General features: G+C 38.8%; 1 long non-coding RNA gene across 1 annotated transcript in view; it reads left to right on the forward strand.

Annotated features, from left to right (window-relative positions):
* Positions 1–13,154, forward strand: part of LOC107987338 (uncharacterized) — a 61,978-nt gene that overhangs the window by 2,045 nt on the left and 46,779 nt on the right. The window lies entirely within an intron of this gene.

Here is a 13,154-nt window from a genome sequence, read left to right on the forward strand (position 1 = left end):
GACATGGAAGCTAAAAAATGTGGCCATGATTTCTCACTTGGATAAACAGATAGTGACTCCTTGAGATATGACATGTAATGGTGGTACAGTGGGGATGAAGGGAATGCTATGGTTTGAAGGTTTTTGTCCCCTCCAAAACGCATGTGTTGGATACATAACTTCCAATGCAACAGTTTTGGGAGGTGGAGCCTAATGGGAGGTGTTTAGGTCATTGAGGGCTCCACTTCATGAGTTCATTAAAGCAGCCATAAGAAAAGCATGTGTGGGGATGGGTTCTCCTCTTTCTCTCTTTCTCTGTCTCTCTCCCCCACAACCCCCATGTTTCTTTGCCACACAAAGATACAAACTTTCTCCCGTCTGGAGGGCCTAGCATTCAAGGCACCATTCTGTAGGATAGGAGAACAAGTCCTGACCCATGGTACCTTGTTTTTGGACTTCCCAGACTACAGAACTGTGAAAGAATAAATTTCTTTTCTTCATAAGTTACCCAGTCTGTGGTAATTTGTGATGCAGCATAAAATTGACTAAGATGAGGTGAGGGGCTAATAAATATGAGTTTGAGTTAAATAGAGGCATCCAAGAAAACAAATTCAGTAGAATAATGACAATTTGAGTCTCACCAGGGAAAGGCTAAAGACCCGGGGAGCCATGTGTGTATGGGATGTATTTAATGGAGCAGAAGTAGATGAGGTCTCAGAGAAAAAGAAAGAGACCAAGTATAAACTCTTACAAATATGGGTATGTGGAGGAGAGAAAACAATAAAATATGATAGATATGGGAAGTATGAGCACTATCAGGAAAAGGCAAGAAGGAGTACACTATGGAAACCAGGGGGGGGATAGATTTTGGAAGAGAGAGACAAGTCAGAAACTCAAAGAAGAAGATAAACTCTTCAGAATGGGTTCCTGGTTTGGAAATGAGATCTCAATCATGTTTCCAAAGGTGACATCACAGAGCAATGAAGTTGGCTGGAGCCATGACCCTTGGGAAAAAAAGAGTGTGGTCCATGGGTGAAGATATTTGCTAGTGACAGGAAGAAGAGAGTGGACAGTAGCTTTTGGGAAAGAGGCAGAAAACTTAGTGAAGGCAGGAAATTCTGAGAACATCTGCCATGTTGTTTTTTTTTTCTTCTAAAAACATCTAGCACTATCTGGCATCTTTGATTCATGTCAAGTTGTTGAAAACAAAGGAGAAGAGAGAGACTAAGAGAATGCCAGTGAGCTACCTCATCATGAGCAGGAAGAGGAGGAGGACATGAGTGTTGGCCTGGTCACGTAGTGTCTGTGGTCGAGACATGACCAAAAAAGAGGCCAACGGGGAGATTAAAATGGGTGAGCAGAGCAGGGTTTTGGGAGGGAGGAATGAACCCAATATCCTGGAAATAAAGATTCCCCTGAGGATATGATAATAGCCTTGTATCTAAGATGAATGTGGCTTGCCATGGGCGATGCTACACATTCCATCGCAATAACACCATACATATAAGCTGTCTCAGTTCTTATTAGTCATTGTCTCATGTCCCCTGATATAATGAGAAGAGATTCTTACTAATGGTCTTTTATTCTCTTCTCTCTCTTTCCCTTGGTGTAAATTATGGTTCTGAGTAAACTGTAAGCCTCTTTTTTTGTTGTTGCTGTTTTTTCACTGCACAGAACTCTCAAATCCCATCATTCCATAGGAATCCGATTGATGTCATCTAAACCTCAGCATATATTTTTTGTTAATGATGAAAAGTTTCTCTCACCATCACCAAGGGAGTTTACTGAGACCTAAGGGTGTAAGCTAAACTCTCTTTATCATTTAAAAAACAAAACAAAACAAAACAGAATTTCCAATGCCATTGGGGGAAACCCTCTGGAAATATTTTTTTAAAAAGAAAACATTAATGCAAAAGGAATTCATACAGTCTATCTCAAATGCCCCCGTGCTATAATTTATTTTTATCAAGCTATGAAAAGAATTATATGGTGTTTAATGGCAACACCTTGATTGCATACAGATATGCTGAACATGTGTCAATTATTTTTCTTAGATGTTACATTGACAGAATTTGAAAGCTCCAGATGTGAAAAGTTAAAGAAAAAAGTTGATCCCCTTGAGTTTTGTTGGAATTCTCTCATGCTTATTCATGTTTCTTACATTAGTAAGAGTACTTATATGATCGTTTGGGAGAAGCTAGTTATGCCAAAGGTTTCTTGTTACCAATGTTTAAATAGCTGTAAAACATTCTTTCTCTACTTGGAGAGCTAAGATTTGCTTTTTTCCCCCCTTACACGTTAGTACTTTGTAATGTGCTTGAATATGAGCTTGTTGAGGAGTCTTTTGCCTCTTGAGTGGGGTCTACCTCAAGCTGGTATGGCTGTCCTCCTGCAAAAGACTCCAAAGGCTCCTCAAGCACAGCCCATGGGTCAGGACCCGGGCTGGCAAGAAAGCCAAAAATTCACAGGCAGTAAAGGCTCATTCTGTCTTCCAGGAGGGGGAAGAACAGAACAAACATGGAAGAGAGGATAATTGACGGGAATTTGGCTACAGTAAAAGATAATTTAATTTTCTCTTGGTCAGGCAGCAAGGGTGGAGGAGATGCTGGTAGGGGGTTGGCCCCATTCTGTCCTGGGACCTCCCAGCACCTGGCTGAGATCTTTGTAAGATTCCCAAGATCTCTTTCAGTTTTAATACCACTTCTTTATTTTCCAGCAGAGAAACAGCATTACACTGCTGACCACAGTGTAACCATACACCCAGTCTTTCCCAGGGATACTTGGGACAGACATCAATTTAAAAATTCATCGTTCCTGGCAACAAGAGAAACCAGGGATTACTAAGCAGGCAGGGAGGGTTGGTAGCAAGGGTTGAAAAAGTACTTAGTGGGTGCTAATGCTCACTATGTGGGTGACAGCTTCAGTTGTACCCAAGACCTCAGCATCACGCTATCATGAAAAAAACCTGCACAAGTATCCCCTGAATCTGAAATAAAAGTTGAAATTATTTTTGAAAAATGCATCCTTCCAAATTGGTGACAACTCATTCCCGGCCATAGTCTGAATAATGTTCTCCAAACAGATCAGCTGTTCCTCTCTGCACCCTGCGAATGGAACCTTATTTGGAAAAAATAATTTTTGAAGATGTGTATAAGGTACAGATCTTGAGATGGGCAGATAATCCTGCCTGTAGAGGGAAATAACTAGATGATTAATAAATGAGTTGTGGGTTTGTGCACTGAATCTGGAGATCTGACACATTTACAAAATTATTTTTGGGGGGCTGACCTCACTATCTGGGCTGGCCTTGGCAGAAGCTGTGGGGGATATGCTGGTTCCACTCAACTAGATATGCCAGATGGAAAAAAAATAAAAGTACTTTCAACAAACCGAGCAGTGGTGACTCCTAAATTGCCAGACATGGATCCTAATGTGAGGAAGACACAAGGAGACCTGACACACCTACAGAGTAGAAGATGGTGTGAGACAGAGCACAGAGAGAATTCAGAGAGGCTGGCCTTGAGGATCAGAGTGATGACGATGGAGCTGCCAGAAGCTGGAGGAGGTAAGGAAGGATCCTCCCCACAGGCTTTCCAAGGGAGCACAACCGTGGAGAAACCCTGACTTCAGCTCAGTGGTATTGATTCAGGACTTCCAACTTCCAGAACCATGAGAGTATGTATTAGGTTGGTGCAAAAGTAATGGCAGTTTCAATATGCACGTTACTGGAAGCCTCTACATTGGTGGCAATTTGTTACAGCACCCCTAAGGAATAAATGCATTCCCCTAACAAATGAGTGTCAAAGGCAAGGATATTAGAAAAAAACAGGTCTGGGAGTGGTGGCTTATGCCTGTAAACCCAGCATTTTGGGAAGCCAAGGCAGGAGGATAGCTTGAGCCCAGGAGTTTGAGACCAGCCTGGGCAACATAGTAAGAACACGTCTCTACAAAAATTAAAAAAATAAAATAGCCAGGTGTGCTGCTGCACACCTGCAGTTCCATCTACTCAGGAGGCTGAGGTGGGAGGATCACTTGAGTCCACGAGGTCGAGGCTACAGTGAGCTAGGATTATATCACTGCATTCTAGCCTGGACAACAGAGCGAGACTCTGTCTCAAAAACAAAAAACCAAAACCCAGATGTTCCACTATATTCAAGATACTCAGTATCCTGAATACTCATCCCTCATCCTTTTTCAGTTTGTGGAATTGGGCAAGAGCTTTCTTTCTCAGAGCTCACCCTTGCTTGTAAATGCATTTACTCAAGTGAAAAGCAGAGAATGGTGGCCAGGTGTGGTGACTCATGCCTGTAATCACAGCATTTTGGGAGGCCAATGCATGTAGACTGCTTGAGCTTAGGCATTCAAGATCAGCCTTAGCAATGTAACAAAACCGTGTCTCTACAAAAAATGCAAAACAATTAGCTAGGCGTATGATGGTTTGTGCCTGTAGTCTCAGCTAATCCAGAGGCTGAGGCAGAAGGATAGCTTGACCCTAGCAGGTCAAAGGTCAAAGCTGCAGTGACCTATTTTGCCACTACACTGCAGCCTGAGCAACAGAGTAAGACTCTCTCTCTGTCTCTCTCTCTCTCTCACACACACACACCACACAGCAGAGAATGAAGACCCGCAGCAGAAGCTGGAGTGCAATCCTTTTCTAACTCATGCTGAGGGTAGAGTGATACAGTTACTGAACACCCACCCCCTGTCTGATTCCTGAATCATCTCCCAGGCAAGCTCTGTCCTTCCAGAACCCCACGTTTGCCGGGGCTGTGCTTCAGAACGGGAAAGCTCTAACCAATGACAGAGTGAAGTGAGTCACCAGGGGACACTGGAAACAAATGCTCATTCTTTATATCTGGGTCACCGCTTCTTGGTTTGTTGAAAATACTTTTATATTTTTCCATGTGGCATATCTATGTGAGCAGAACTAGCATCTAACCACAGCCTCTGCCAAGGCCGACACAGATGAATGAGGTCAACTTCAAAAATAATATTCCAAATGTGTCGGATCTCCAGATGCAGTGCACAAAGCCAGAACTCTTTGATTTATAACATAGTTGTTTCCCCCTATAAGCAAACAAAGAGAACAAAATCATTATCTTGAGGCAAATGAGAGCCCCAAAGAGTGCCTATTTCCAGGGAATGCAGTGGAGAAGTTTCCTCTCTCAGAGAGGTTGGGGGTTTCTCTCAACTGCATCATTACTCTTGAGAAATTATTTAGAATTGGAGGGTTGTAAGTTCTTTTTAACTCAGGATTCTAGTGAACTGATAATTTTAAAAGGATTAGGTTATTTAGAATTTGGCTTATGACACTTAAATACGTGAAGTACAATTGTAATTCAATACAAATTGCTAACATCTAACTATTCCTCTACATGCAAACTTCAACTGTGTGTATGTGAGTATAAGTATAAATTCATATCATATGTAATAGCTATTAGATTTATTAGTTTAGCTATCATTGTCTATCTCGTATCTATCTCTGTCTCTTCCATTTTTATCCATCTGTCTTCTATCTACTCATCCATCTATCAAGCTTTCTGTGTACCTACTTCCCTACCTATTCAACTCTCATGTCGCTCTGTATCCATCTATGTATCTATTTATTATCTATCCATTTATCTCATCCACTTATCTATTATCTTATGTGTCTATCATCTGTCTCATCTATCATCTCTCTATTCATCTACATCCATCTATCATCTAACTATCATCATCTATGTCTTCTATCTTTATCTATCCATCACTTATCTATCTACTCATCCAACTATCTTCTATCTAGCTACTTTCCTACCTATCAAAATCTCATCTCTATCATCTACCTACTTATCCATCTACTATCTATCATCTATCAATTATCTAATCTATCTATCCATCATCTATCTATCTATCTATACATTCATCCATTGAGCATAATAGCTAAGAAAGTTCAAATATTCTGCTCTTATCATTTTTCGTATGAAAACCACATGATAGAGCCATAAGTTGCTTCAGGAAGAAGTTATAGCTGTAAGAGATGGAGCAGAGACATAGCATTCTTCTGTTTCTTTCATTTCAGATATGCTATTTCCAAATCAAGGTTACATTATACCCAGCTTGAGTCACCATTGCACATATTTACTTTTATATTTAATTGTATTCAAATTTGTTATTGTTCTATACACTATCTCACAGCAACTCAGAATGATCATTATAGATGTCCATTGCACTGGATACTTAATTCTACTCAACCTTATAACGGTTCTGTAGAATGCCTCCAACACACCTTTTAAGCAGATATTTGGGATTTGTGTAATTGTTCTTTCAGATGAAGGACAGAAGACAAATTTCACCTGCATGAGTTTCCCAATCACAGGAATTTTGAGTGAGTGGGAATTTACAGTAAAGTCACCTTCTTCTTAAACCCATTGCAATGAGTCTTTTCATGCCTGCCTTTGTGAGATTCATGAGTTTTTTGTCGTGGCTAAATTTGGCTTTTTATTGAACTGGTGATGTGGTCATCCAATACGATCTGACATGTACTAAACTGTTTCCTCTCCTTTCTGGAGTTGAGACCCAATTTAATTGATGTCACCATGGGAAATAGCCCAGGAGTCAGCATCCCTGTTTCCATAACAGGAAGGAGAGAGGAGGTGAAAAATTCCATACCTTCTCCAACACTCATAGTGTTGGAGAACACAAACACACCCCAAGAGTACATTAATGTATAGTAGACTCTTGAACAATGTGGGAGTTAGGGGTGCCAACCCCCAGTGCAGTAAAAAATCCACCTGTAGGCTGCGGTTACACAACCTGTAACCCCAGCACTTTGGGAGGCTGAGGCTCAGGAGTTCAAGACCAGCCTGGCCAACATAGTGAAACCCTGTATCTACTAAAAATACAAAATTTTGCCAAGAGTGGTGACATGCGCCTGTAATCCCAGCTACTCAGGAGGCTGAGGCAGACAAATCACTTGGACCCAGGAGGCAGAGTTTGCAATGAGCAGAGATTGAGTTACTGTACTTCAGCCTGGCCAACAAGAGTGAAACTCCGCTCAAAAAAAAAAAAAAATCCACTTGTAACTTTTGACTCTCCCAAAACAGAACTAATAATAACCTACTTTTGAGTGGAAGCCTTCCTGATAACATAAACAGTCGATTAGCACATATTTTATATGTTATGTGTATTAAATACTGTATTCTTACAATAAAGCAAGCTAAAGAAAAGAAAATGTATTAAGAAAATAATAAGGAACAGAAAATACATTTGCTATTCATTGAGTGGAAGTGGATCATCATAAAAATGTGCATCGTCATTGTCTTCGCATTGAGGAGGTTGAGGAGGAAGGGAAGGGTTGGTCTTGCTGACTCGGTAGTGTCAGAGGTGGAAGAGAATCCCATCCCCTTCTAAGTGGACCACATAGTTCAAACCTGTGTTGTTCAAAGGTCAACTTTACTACAGTTAAGTGATGAATCAATGGACAGTGGTTCCTACAATGAAGCCATTGTCCTAACAGTGGCTTATGATAAATTTTTGAGAATACATATAATTATTTTAGGTAGATGGTCACCAAGATGAAATGAGTGTATGCACAGCAAATCCATACAGTGGTTCTGGCTATTTTAAGTTTTCTTTTGTGTAAAATGGATCCTCATTCTTCACAAAGAGACTGCATTGCTCAATCCATGTTCTTTGTGGTAGAAATATTTCTGTGGTTGGGACCAGTGACTTCTATGTGTTCCTTGGACACACTTCCTGTAATGAAATGATCTAACTATATTGCCCAAGGGAGCAGAAGATTGGAGATTTGTTGTGTGTGTGTGTGTGTGTGTGTGTAGGAGATGAAAATACAAAGGTAGAGATAGAGAATAGAGAAACAGAAAAAAATAGATAGATGATAGAGGGATAATAGGTGTTAAGTAGACAGATGATAGATGATAGAAAGATAAAAAGATAATACATGATAGATGATGGATAGAAACACAGAAATACAGATAGAGATAGATAGAAATACAGATAGACACATTAGATAGATAGATAGATAGATAGATAGATAGATAGATAGATAGATAGATAGATAGGAGTGGAGAGGACTTTCATTTTTAAGAAACATACTAGCTGCACTGAAGGAAGCCCAGCAGCCATTCTGCCATGAACCTTCCTTTGCAGGGTTGTAACCATGCTCTTCTCATCCTCGATCATTAGGGTTTATGCACATGCCCTTAAACAACCACAGAAAAATGCAGGTTGTCCATGCTTCTGCCAGACGATATGATCCTAAAATGCAATTACTTGAGAGACACGCTATTGGAGGAACATGTTTTGAAGGACTCATGGTCCTGGATAGCATAGATTTTATTTTCAGTAAAATAAAATCTGGACCATCCAAAAACTGAATTCACTTCTGTTGTAGTTCTCCACAGAATTGCTACTGCTGAGCAGTACTTTCTTATAGTGCACTGAGCTCTAAAATGAGAATATTTGTAACAGATTGCACTTTTAAGTTGTGATCCTGTCTTTACTGTGGGGGTACTGTTGAAGACGTTTTTGGTATGAATGACTCAGATATGACTGGAAAAGCTTTGCTTAATTTCTTACCAAAGAAATGTGTGATTCATAATGCAGAAGATGTCTCACTTTTTTCCTTTGGCTTCCAGGAAGCTTGTCGCTATGTGATTTATGATTAATACTAATTTTATTTTATTTTCTTTTAATTTTAATTAATTCTTTTAATATTAATTAATTTTTTGTTTTTTGAGATGGAGTCTTTCTCTTGTTGCCCATGCTGGAGTGCAGTGGCATGATCTTGGCTAACTGCAACCTCTGCCTCTTGGGTTCAAGCAACTCTCTTGCCTCAGCCTCCCAAGTAGCTGGGATTACAGGCACCCGTGACCGTGCCTGGCTATTATTTCATAGCACTTTCTGAGTTCATCCCTAGCATCTTACTTTGTGTGAGCTTTTGGCTGATGTGTGACTCTGAGGACAGGGATCATGTGCTCTTGATGCTGTTGCTGCTGCAAGTATTATAAGCACAATAGATCTTGGTTAAATATTAATAGAAAAATGCATTCTGTCTTTCCACCTGTGCCCAATAAGATAGGTCAATTCCATCCAGAGCTTAATTACAACAGCCTCCTGACAACACATCTGATAAAAATTTTGATTTTGTGTTTTGAAGTGACCATTATTGATAAATATTTCATTATTTATTATATTGTGTATTATACATAATTATTTGTATATGTATGTTATAGATAATAAATTGTTATTAAAATGTGTTATCTATAAATATGTAATAATTTAAATATACAAAATGTATATAATATAGTTAAAATAGTATAAATAATAAAATAATATAATAATAAAATAGTATAAAATGTTATGTATGGTATAAAATATATTTATAAAATATAACTATATATTATATATAATTTACATCATTTTATACTTTATTCTTACAATAAAGTAAGCTAAAGAAAAGAAAATGTCATTAAGAAAATAATAAGGAACAGAAAATACATTTACTATTCATTGAGTGGAAGTGGATCATCATAAAAGTGTGCATCCTCATTGTCTTCATGTTGAGGAGGTTGAGGAGGAGGAGAAACAGAAGGGTTGGTCTTGCTGACTCAGCAATTATCTATATTATCTATTACATAATTTATAATACTATATGTTATATAATATATAACACCTTATACAATATAATATATGACATATATATTATATAAGGTATGTGATGTATATTACATATAACACATTTAATTATAATATATACTACATAGTATATATATATTACATAGTATATAATGTATATAACATACATAGACATAACACCATATGTTATATAACACCTTATACTATATAATATATGACATTTACATTATATTATGTATATGATATATATTACACATAACATTTAATTATAATATCATATATTACATAGTATATATTACATAGAATATATGTTACATAGTATATTATATATAACATACATAGACATATAATGGTATATTATATATCATATAGTTATATATTACGTATTATTAGGTTGGTGCAAAAGTAATTGTGGTTTCTGCCATTAAGAGTAATCGCAATTTAATATATAATATGAAATAATATGTAATTTGTGTTTTATTATAATATAATATTTCAAATACTATATATTACATATAGTATTTAAGTATTATATATTACAATAATATTTAAGATATATTATTAAAATATATATTTTATATATATGACATACCTATTATACATAATATATAATTTATACCTCCAGATCCAAAGTATATTCAATTTGACTAACACTTACAGGGCACCTTCAGCATCCAAGGTATTCTGAGGTCATTTCCTGCCATTTTGATTGGGTGAATTTTTGGCGATCAATTGTTGATTACCAATGGTGTCCCTGCTTCTAATCTTTTCCTGTCTAGAGGACCCCAAACCACAGGCCAACTTCTGTCTGAGCAGCTCATCTCTGCTCACACCTCTCTCATGCTCAAAATCCTTCAAATTCTTCCAGCTATCTCAGGAAAAGGAAAAGCCAGAGTCCTTTGCCTCATTCTCAACGCATCCCCTCATTGGCCATTTTCTTGTATTTCAGCCTTCTTTGCAGTATAACGTACCAGGAGAGTTAAGTTTGGGGCTGGAAGAAAACCCTTCATGTCCTGGCATCCTTTGTCCAGAATTCCATCTGCCCAGGCTGCTTCTGAGCAAAGCAATGCTTATCACCCCAGAGAAGCCCTTCCTTCCCGTGGACGCTCCCACCCTTTGGAGCTCATGGTGAGCTTAGGACCAAATGATTTGCAGAAGAGTGACGCATGGAATATATCAAAAAATGCCTGTGAAATTGGATGGTGTTCAAACTAAACATCAGGCACCCCACAAACCCTAGCCAAAATCGAGCTTGACTTCTTGCACAGGAGTTGTGAGTTTAAGGACCATACCAGATACTTGAAGAAACTGATAATTTTTTTGAGAAACTTGCTTGCATTTACCTTTTTTTCTATTATTGATTCATACTATTTTACATATCTATGGGGTACATGTGACAGTTTGTTGCTTGCATAGAATGTGTAGTGATCAGGCCAGATTATTTGGAATATCTGTCACCTTGAGAATTAATCATTTCCATGTGTTGGGAACATTTCAAATCTCCTAGCTATTTTAAAATACACAATACATTATTGCTAACTATAGGCACCTTACCCTGCTATCATATATTAGAATTATGTCTTTTATGCAACTGTATAAAATCAGGATTTGATGACCATCTATGATATATGCCAGCAACAGAATATCAGGCTGATGCTTTTACATCTCTGCCCCTACAGGGTCTTTTGATGTACATTGGGAACAATAATCTTCAGAGATTTGGGGAGACAGATTAGAGATGATATATGTTAAAACACGGGTCCCCATGTGGCCCGTTAGGAACTGGGCCACACAGCAGGCGGTGAGTAGCGGGTGGGTGAGCAAAGCTTCATCTGTGTTGACAGCTGCTCCCTATCACTCACTTTACCTCCTGAGCTCCACCTCCTGGCAGATCAGCGGTGGTATTAGATCCTCATAGGAGCGTGAACCCTTTTGTGAACTGCACATGCGAGGGATTTAGGTTGACGCTCCTTATGAGAATCGAATGCCTGATGATCTGCCACTGTCTCTCATCCCCGCCCCAGATGGGACTGTCTAATTGCAGGAAAACAAGCTCAGGCCTCCCACTGATTCCACATGATGGTGAGTTGTAAAATTATTTCATTGTATATTACAATGTAATAATAATAGAAATACGGTGCACAATAAATGCAATGTGCTCGAATCATCCTGAAACCATCCTGCTCCCAACCCCAGCCATGGAAAAGTTGTCTTCCACGAAACCTGTCCCTGGTGCCAAAAAGGTTGGGGACGGCTGCATTTGAACACAGTTTGCTTTACTCAGCAAACTATCATGGAGTTTTCTGTGATATCAGCGTGACCATGGAGAAGGCTCTCAATAAATGCACCAATTATGTTTTTGATGAAAATGAACATATTTTTCTTGGGTTTCCTAGAAGCACCATTCTACCTCTCAGAAGACATTCTCATAATACCAAGAAGAAAGACAAGCCAAAGATTGCATACTGAAATTATTTTAACAGCCTAAGTTTCTCTTATACGTGCCACTCTCTTGCAAACACCCATTAGAAGAGAAAACAAACAGTACATTTGAGGCCTTATTCTTGTCATCCTCCTCTTCAATTTCTTTATCCTCCTAATTCCCAAATGTAGCCACTTGGATGTGGCAGCTTCCTATTGCAATTTCCTCTTTTTATTTTTATTTTTTTGAGACAGAGTCTCACTCTGTCTTGCAAGCTTGACTGTAGTGGTGCGATCTCGACTCACTGCAACCTCTGCCTCTTGGGTTCAAGTGATTCTCATACCTCAGCCTCCTGAGTTTCAGGATTACAGGCACATTTCACTATGCCTGGCTAATTTTTGTATATTTAGTAGAGATGGGGTTTCGCCATGTTGGCCAGGCTGGTCTCAAACCCCTGACCTCAAGTGATCTGACCGCGTTGGCTTCCCAAAGTGCTGGGATTACAGCTGTGAGCCACTGTGCCCAGCCACAATTTCTTGGATCACAATTTTTTTCTGCATATAATTGAAGGTTCTTTTTTTTTTTTAACATCTGAGAGAATTGTGTGAGTAAAAGAAGAATTAGAATAAGAACATGATGTACTTGAGGGTGCTTTTTAGATGATTATAGCTGAATTTGGTTTTCCTGTTGTAAAAACTATTATTACTTTGAAAATCTAAAATGAACTTTCAGGGTTTGGTGATTAAGGCCAGTTTTATATGTTAGGTAAAGAGCTTTATTGATAAGACTCTACTCATAGTTATTACCCTGAGAAAAATAGACACAACAGATGGGAATGCATTTTTATGATTTAGGGTCTTACCATTTTAAAGGAAGGTGATTTACCCTGAGATATGGGAGAGAAAATAATGCTTGCTGTGTGAGTTTGCTAGGGCTGCATAACCAGGTCCCCCAGAATGCTCAGCTTAAACAACAGACATTGATTCTCCCGCAGTCCTGGAGGCTGGAAGTCTGAGATCAAGGTGTGGGCAGGGCTGGTTCCTCCTGAGGCCTCTCTCCTGGGCTTGGAGTTGCCATCTTATCCTGTGTCCTCACAGGGTCATCACTCTGCATGTGT

Source organism: Homo sapiens, chromosome Y (assembly GCF_000001405.40).
Source record: "Homo sapiens chromosome Y, GRCh38.p14 Primary Assembly".
Taxonomy (NCBI): Eukaryota; Metazoa; Chordata; class Mammalia; order Primates; family Hominidae; genus Homo; species Homo sapiens.